Source organism: Homo sapiens, chromosome 9, assembly GCF_000001405.40.
Source record: "Homo sapiens chromosome 9, GRCh38.p14 Primary Assembly".
In the NCBI taxonomy this organism is placed as follows: Eukaryota; Metazoa; Chordata; class Mammalia; order Primates; family Hominidae; genus Homo; species Homo sapiens.
The window spans coordinates 106,862,208-106,870,944 of NC_000009.12; the positions used below are offsets into that span (position 1 = coordinate 106,862,208).

Genomic DNA, 8,737 nt, shown 5'->3' on the forward strand with positions numbered 1-8,737 from the left:
AAGGGATTAAAAAGCCCCACGTGGTTGATCTGGGTTTATACTTGCAACCTCCAGTTCCCCACGTATGTTCTTTGCAAAGGTTGGCCTCTAGATGGATGCAAGTAAGGGACCCTCTGGGGCTCGGGCTCGGCGCCTCGGGCAGGGCTGACGTTGGGAGCGCTATGAGCTGCCGGGCAGGGTCCTCACCGGGGGCTTCCTCTGCGGGCCAGGGCTGCCGGGCGCCACCGGGACGCGAGCGCGCACGCCTCGGCCCGGCGGCCGCGCTCCTCGCACCGCCTTCTCCGCAGGTCTTTATTCATCATCTCATCTCCCTCTTCCCCTTCTCCTTCTCCTTTGCCTCCTTCTCCTTTGCCTCCTTCTCCTCCTCTTCCTCCCCCTCCTCCACCACCACCTCCTCCTCCTCTGCCGCCGCCACCTCCTCCTCTTGCATCTCACTGGCCTGGCTCTGAGTGACAAAGACAATGTCCCAGCCTTAACTTTGCAACCACCTTGCCTCCTTCTGGGGTTCAGCAGGGGGGAGGGGGAACAGCAGCAGCAGCCTCAGCATCTCCTCCAGCTTCTCCTTCTGCTCTTCTCGAGCTCTTGGATAATTCTTCCTCTTTTTTCCCCTAGCCTTTTTCCTCATTTCTTTCTTTCTTTCTTTTTTTCCTTCCTCTCTGCTGCACGTTGTTGTTGTTATTAGAAAGGCTTCGCGCACCCCCTGGTGCTCCGGCGTTTTGTGTGGCAGGAGAAGATTGTCTTCCTTCTCTCTTTCTGTCTTGCTTTCTCTCTCCCCCTGGTTGCTCATTATTCAGAGAGAGACACAGAGGGAGGGAGAGAGAGAGAGCGCGCGAGGGAGAGGGAGGAGAGGAGAGAGAAGAGGAGAGAGAGGGGAGAGAGAGAGTGAGAGGGAGAGGGAGGGAGGGAGAGAGAGAGAGAGGGAGAGAGACGGATATCTCAGGTCATCTGCAGCTGCAGCGAGTCTGAGGAGCCGAGGAAGGCAGGGAAGATGGCGATCCTCCATTGCTGAGACCCGGCAGAAGCACATGAGACTCCCAAACAACTTCCACAACAATAACCCGAGCAGGAAGAGGAGAAAGAGAAAGAGGATAAGGAGGCGGTGGGGCTGGAGAACCCGAAGCACCTCCCGGCGCCGGGACGCTTCTTCTGTAAGTTACTGCAATTAACAACCACCTCGGGGTGGTCCGAGTGCTCCGGGGAAGAGAGCGCGGGGTGGTGGAGGCACAAACGCGCTCATTCATTCGGCCAAGGAGGGTTGGAGGAGCGGGGAGGAGAGGAAGTCCCCTGCATGGACTGGCTGTTGGAAGAGGAGAAGAAGCGAGAGAGAAGAGGAGGAGGGGGAGGAGGGAGAGCAGGAGGGGGAGGAGGAAGAGGAGGAGGAGAAGCGAGGGAGGAAGAGGAGGAGGAGGAAGAGGAGGAGAAGGTGGTAGTGGTGGCAGTGGAGGTGGCTGTGCTTTTCCTGCTGGCTGCTGCTCCTGCTGGGGGGAGTGAGCGCGGTGGCTTAATTAATTTCGTGTAGTTCTATGAAGAGAAGAGAAAATGAAAGATGAGTGAGAAGAGAGCTGGAGGCTTAGGACGGATGCTCCGAGTGTGGGGACAGGAGTAGGGACAGAGGGGGGCGGAGGGCGGGAGGCCGGAGACCTGAGCCGAGAGCCAGAGGGAGCGAGCGAGGGTCAGAGGAGGGAGAGCTCCGTGCGAGCGGCCCCGACCTGAGCGGGTTGACCTCTTTCTTTCTCTGTCCCTCTCCTTCCTTTCCCCCTTCTGTCTGCCTGTCCCCCGCCCGATGGCAAAGCCGTGCGGATTGGCAGCCCCCCTCTTCCTCAGGTATTTGGCTCTCTCTCTCTCTCTCTCTCTCTCTCTCTCTCTCTCTCTCTCTCTCTCTCTCTCTCTCTCTCTCTCTCTCCCTCTCCCCGAAGTTGGGATGCGGGGTCGGGATGTGTCGGGGGGTGGCTGCTGCAGCTGCTGGTGCCGGTGCTGCTGGTGAACAGAGAGGCGAGGAGCGGGGGGCACCGGCCGGGTGGGGGGCGCAGGTTCAGGAGCGGCTGAGGAGCTGTCTCCAGGCTGGAGGTTCAGAAGCGTCTGGTGGAGGAGGACAACGGTTTCTGGAGAGGAGAAGCCATTACACACGCTTGGCTCTCCTCTGAGGAAGGGAGAAAGGAAGGCAGGGGCCTGGGGGGGCGTCTCACTCCTGGTGCAGTTCCCAGGGGTCTGCCCTCCTTCCAGGCACGAGGGGAAGCCGCAGCCGCCCCCCATTGGAGCAGCCCCTCTTTCCCTTTCTTTATCTCCCTGTCCTCCATTTGCAAGCTGTCTGCTTTGGTTCCAGTCCAGACTCCAAAACACAAAGCTCCTTCTCACGTTCATTCTCCAGGCTGTTCACCATTCCTGAAGGAACCCTCGTTTTCTTTTCATTGTGGCTTCTAACCTACAGAGAGGGAGGGAGGGAGGCTGCCTGGAGTTCCTTTTATATTCCTCCCCAACCAAGAAAAAAAAAAGTTTCATTTTTAAGCACGCGTCTGGGATGGGGAAAGACCAACCAGTTGGGGCTTTCTCCCAGGGCTCCCGGGGGCTGTGTCTGAGTGTCTGTGTTGGCTGTTTGGTTTGCTTTGGTTTTGTTTCTGGAGGTTGCTTGCAGGTTTTTGGAGGAAGTGACTAGTTTGGTTAAGAGCTGGGAACTGAGTCAGGTAAGCCGTGTCATGTTGTAACTCCACCAGAAAATGGAGGAGAGCGGGTTTCCAGGAGACAAAGCTGAGATGAGAAGTGTTTATAAAATTATGGATGTCTCCATTTTGAAGCTCTGTTGGTGATGGCTGGAGGAGGAGGAGGCTTGCTTGCCTACTCCTTCTCTCTTTCCAGAGGGAAACCTTGTGGTGGTTCCTCACTGTCTATTCATTATGCAAGGAAATGAGGGCTTTTAAGGGTTCCTCAGATTTTTCTCCACCAAAGAGTGCTTTCACAAGTTATTGAGGCGTTTGTTTCCATTTTAAAGTAAACTTTTGGAATTTTTTTTCTCCTTTTGAGTGGACCTGAAGGGTTTTGACCTCCTTCAGGAAAGGCAAGGCAAAAACCTTAAAACAGTTCCACTGAGGTCTTCACACAACTTTAAGCTGCTCCAGGTCTCCTGAAAGTCACCAGGAAATGTGATTTCCTCCTTGTGAAGATGGTGATGGCCCTAAGCTGAGATTTTTTTGAGTTCTAGGGTTTGGTTATCATCATGTTTTGATGCATTGCAAGACTTTATTGTCTGATTTGAGTTGATTTCTGCAAATATAAAAAATAATAAGAATAATCCTGCAAGATCTCAGAGGAACTCTAAGACTGGCTAACACCAGTTTCTCCAGGTTCTCCATTTCTCTTCAGGTCGTTCCATTTGTATGTTAGGCCTTCTTTCAGTTTCTTTGTTTCCCCTTTCCCTTTCCGTCGGCTAATTTTTTCTGTGTTCTGAAGTACTCTTAAGTCTTCAGAAATATCAGTATGTCTTCTTAACAATGTCGCTATGGAAACAAATTTTAAAAACATGATGTCAGTTGAGAAAACCTTATGTCCAGGTATCTTCACCTTTTTAATTGGGAGGAATTTATTAATCATGTAGGAAGACATTTTGTGAGGATAATTTGAAAAAAGGACCCAGTGCTACCCTAGTCCACACACATTGATGGGAGCTCTTCACATATTAGTTTTAGAGAATGTACATAATTGACCCAAGCAAAGAACTAAATCCCGAAATGCTTCAGGAATTTTTAAAAGCCAACCATGAAGATGTTGCTTTTCCATTAGGTGAGGTAGCCATCTTGAGGATGAGGGAAGATGTTGGAAGAATTTTAGATGAACTGTTGAAGATAGGTGAGGAGGGCTCCACGGTGGAATGAAAACTTGGAGGAGATTCAGAACCAGTTAATATATTCTAAGGAGGCTAATTGGACCTTGCTTTCAACTAAGAAGAAATATAGAAAGGTACCAGCTTCAACAGAAATAAGGAACACATTGGTGAGCAACTTACAACAGCATTTTTCTTGCTTTGCTTTCTCATTATGTGTCAGATTTTTTTGTGTAAAGTTCCTTATGTCTAAAATATTTTTGTACATATTGAAGTGGTTTTAGATTCCAGATGTAATTATATTCTGTTGAGTAGCTGGTAGCACTGTCACTCAGTAAATGCACAGTGCTGTATATGACAACATCACATTTTTCAAACCAAACTGTTGTGTCATTAATTGAGGGTTATTGTTCTTCTGAGGGGTGTGAAAGGAGAGGGGAAATACATGGTTCTTTAGCTGATAATTGTCCATGGTCAATGAAGTAAAACCATGTTTGTGCAGACAAAAATGTATGGTTTCAGTTGACGTGTATGCTTATTTAAAAATACTTCTGTTAGATCTCTGCTCCTTTATGAAAAACCTAGGCCTCTCCAAGAGCACTTAAAAAAAATCCTACTTGGAATCATAACTTTTATTATTCATTTTTGAACATTATCTTTTGATACCATTACTTTTGCTCTTAAGTGAAATTTCGCCAATATTATATTTAAATTTGCTAATGCATAAATGGATGCACCAAACTGGGTGTCCAAACTGGGAAGTTCAGTTGCAATGGATAAAGAGTTATTTGGAAAAGTAATTACCAGATAATTTTACATCTAATTAACCATGTATGTTTATGTAAACATAAGTACATTATATATTGATCTTGAAACAAACTTTCATGATATCTTTTTTTATTGTTATTGATAGCAGGACAATTGGTTCATTTGCTCATTTCAGCAGGGGGGAAACATCTGACAATCTGGTTGTCAGTCCAGCTGTTTGACTCTCCACATTTTTTACTTTGCAACCAAATGTGTTGGCGTCTTAGAGTTGAACTTTTCTGGAAGGGAAAAAATAGGTATTTAAGAGGCATCTTGGAATTTGGAAATGCATTCTAACTGGTTATCTAAGACACATCCATCTCTGATGCCCTTCACCAGCATGGCAAACACCATAATATTTAAGGACATGGTTTTTTGAATTTTTCTAGACATACCCATTTGAATTAAGACAAGTATTTTGAATAAACCACCATGAGAGAAATAAAAAGTATTAAATCAGACATTTTCATTTAATGTCAAAGCTCAAAGATCATTTTTGTTTATGAGACAAGTTCATGTGGCTTATTATGCAAATTTTTTGCCATGGCTCTAATATATCACAGGGAGAAATCATGGAGAAATATTTGCGAGCTATGATGCATCCTGCCATAAAAAAATTCTTGTTGGATCCTCACATTGCATAATATTTCTCATATTGGATTTATGTCAGTCTAATTCATTGACCATATTCCCCGAGGAATTGTTTTTTCCCCCTTACTCTTTGGAGTTGGAGACAACTTTTAGAGAAAAAAAAAAAAACAAACTTATCTGCTCTTCCTAATGAATCTTCCGGAAGACAGCAGAAGAAAAAAAATCCAACTCTACTAATGGACTTTAGAGTACTTGTGGTCGGTTTTCCTGAAAGAAAGGAATGGTAAAGTTGCAATGGGAAAGAGTCCTTTTTTCTGTGTGATGGAGTTTAATAGGGTCTAGTCTGTCTTAAATTATTCCTTGATGTTGCAATTACTTGGTTAAGGTAACCTTACTTATCTTCTTTATGGTATGTGCCTTTTTCAGACTTACACTTCACTGCATCATGAAATTGACAAAACTGTATCAGATATTCTAAATTGATAATTGGAGAACAGAGATGCTGTTTCATAATGCCGCAGTCACAAATAGGAGATACATAATGGACTCTTACTGCTAAGGATCTAACATGAATGTATGACTGGGATGATTGGTATATTCAGCAGAAGTGGAGGGAGACTATTTCCATGACTGAAAGCTAAAATCCAGTGAACTGAAAAAAAAAAAAAATCAGTGTGTGTAAAAGCAAGTATCTTGTGAGTTTCACATACTTATGGAGTATGATGGCTTTGAGAGAAACATTAGCTAGGTGTTGGTGACCTATTAATTGATTATGAGAAAACAGAGAGGAGAGTAGATAATGCTAGAAGAAAATTCCTCTCCTTGTGTGATATGCCAAGACATCTGGCAGATGTTATGTTGGGCCCTAAGGAATGGACAGTTTAATTTTAGCCCTTGCAAGGAAATGGGAAGTTCTAAGCTCTTTTAATAGCACAAGTCTTAGTTTGGGGAAGGTTGCTTACAAAAATAAGAAAGAAAGGAAAAGAGGCACTTAGTGTTATGTGGAAGAACTCTAGGGAGTAGGGAGTGAAAACTGAAGTTTCGGGGTGAGGAGCAAAAATATTATTTCTCATGCAGAAATTACCAAAATTATTTTAAAAGTGACAAATATGTACACTGTAAGTAAGGACTATTAGTTATTTAATATTCACCAGGCAGAACTTCCAACTTAGAAGCTAGTTGTTTTAGGCCCTAGATCATTTAGATGAAGTCTCCTCCTTCCACTTGCATTATACTGAAGAGGAAACTGGCACAAAGACATGAAGTGACTTGCACAAGGTCAGAAAGTTCAGTTGTAACCGAGCCAGGCCTAGAACTCAGGTCGGCCGACTCCAGCCTAGTGCCCTTTCCACTACCCCATTGCATTTGATTGTTGAGGGTTGTGAAATAGCTGCTCTCTTCTCCAGGGCCCACAGCTTTCTGAGAAACTCTGTACTCATACACTAGTGGGCAGGAGTATGGATTTTTCTTAGTTGGATTTAACACGTTGGGGAGCCCAGGGTTGAGCGTGGTTTCATTCATAGATCCAGAGCCCAATTTTGTTCATGTGACATTCAGTAAAGTGTTAGCTCCCGGGTTTGTAGCTGTACTTTTCTTTTCATCTTTCCTGCTCTCATCTCTCATTCCATCATCCAAGGGCTTGGGAGCCCTTCTCAAATGCCCTTCTTTGGAAGTTTGTGTGAGTCTATTGCAACTTACAATAGTGCCCACAATTGGACTCTGAGGATCTATTTTGCAACGTGGTGCAGATTTAAATTGGCTCCTTTCAGAGATGCCATTTTGTAATACTGATGAATGGCTGAGAGGGTGAAATCCAGTCTGAAACAATTACTGGTGGTTTTCCAATGTTCTTACTCATTCAAAATGTGCCCTCCGTGTATCTTCTTGGAGCCCAACTCTCTTGCAGACTAATGGCTAACCTTTTCCCATTTTCCCAGTATACATGAAATCATCCTTAAGATGACTTTTAACAACACAGACATTTAACCATGAGCAATGGGACAGTCCTGTAAGGAAGGGTGCAATGGGTTTCCACTTCTGTCTCTTCTTGGATGAGCAAAAGTGATTTTGTAAAGAAGAAGAGTGATGTTTGGAAGTTTCCACATTTTCTAAGCTCCTTCCAAACGAATGCATCAATTTTTAATCCAGGAGGCAGTCTGGAGAAGGTAGTGCTGGATGTGGACTTCTGGCAGAAACACAGTTAACGCTGTAAACAGTTGAACCTCAGTGTGGCACTCCTCCAAATGAGTTGACTGTCGAAAATAAAATGTTCCAGAAGAACTGGGAGAACAGGAAAGAAGTTAAAACAGCATGGTTTGCATGCCAGTACTAAAGGAAGAAAAAAAAGTTTGGGTTGGGAGGGCATTGGAGAGAAGATAATTGTAAGTTGAACTGTCTCTTGGATTTATAAGACCCAGGAGAAGTTTCCAAATGTGGGAAAATGGGTTTTTATGAATTTAGATTGTATTTGCAGTATGCTAGGAAGCTCTTTTGGATTTTTTTTTTCCCCTTGAACTTTGCATTTGGAGAACTGCACACACTGATAAAAGGGAAATCCATTGGAAGCAATTTGGATTTACATTTTGTGCTTGGAAATGCTATCATAAAATTTATCTTTTTTCTAAGTCCTCCTATTCTCATCAGCTGAAGCACGTACAGGATTTTTAAAGTGTTTGGATGTGTGATTCCAACACAAAGTTAATTATTTTCACGGCTTAGAAGGACAAAGGATAGAGTGGTGTGGTGTGAGGAGGTGCTAGTATTGTCACCTACAAATGCATTGCCTTTTACTTCTGGTGAGCACATTACTTGGTGTCTTCAAAGCATTCTTGCCTAATTCCTAGCTGGAGACATTTTTTCTTGAGTTATTCTTGGAGGGAAGGTTTTTTTTGTGTGCCAGGTCATGGGTATTTTGGTATTGATTTCCTTGCTTTCATGTGTTTGCTTGTTCAGTTCACTGCATGTTGCTTCTGGATATTAATAAAATACTTGTGCTGCGCCTGTCCACATCTTACCCCCAACCTTATTCAAAGAGTAGACCCTGTTCTTTAGGGTGAAAGGAAGTTTGACAGGTACTTATTTGTTCAAAAAATAAATACTTGAAGATGAGAACTGTGTAATTCAGGAAGTTATTTGCTAGACCTTCACATAGACAAATTTTAACAAAGACCACACCAGGAAAAATGGAGAAAATTCTACTAGGAACCAATAGATCCTGATTAGAATGTTTTAGGATCACTTAGTAGGAAATTAAGCATTTGCCCAAGATGAGGAAGCGAAGTCTTACCTTTGGGTTCAGCTTGGTTGGAGCACAAAAGGAGCTGTAGGCCCAGGTGAGACAACTGTGTCAGAAGTAATAAAGCCCAGGATTTGTGGAGAGAGCTTAGCCGCCACAGAGCCCAGCTGGGGAAGGCCAAACTCACTCTTAAGTTCTCGTCTGAGCAGTTGAACCAGAACACACGCTAAGGCCTCCAAATTTTGGAATTCTTCTTTTTCCTGTTCAGATTTAAGAAGGTAATGCCATTA

General features: G+C 44.3%; 1 protein-coding gene across 28 annotated transcripts in view; it reads left to right on the forward strand.

Annotated features, from left to right (window-relative positions):
• ZNF462 (zinc finger protein 462) overlaps positions 1–8,737 on the forward strand; it is a 153,477-nt gene that overhangs the window by 2,050 nt on the left and 142,690 nt on the right. For 6 of the 28 annotated variants that reach the window (XM_006717209.5, XM_047423668.1, NM_021224.6 and 3 more), the window contains exon 1: positions 959–1,148. The exons of 10 other annotated variants lie outside the window; for them this stretch is intronic. The gene's annotated coding sequence lies outside the window, so the exon portion shown is untranslated. Of the gene's footprint in view, positions 1–958; positions 1,149–1,417; positions 3,985–8,737 lie in introns of those variants that run through there. 12 more of the 28 variants (XM_047423664.1, XM_047423677.1, XM_017014998.3 and 9 more) reach the window with 6 other exon arrangements.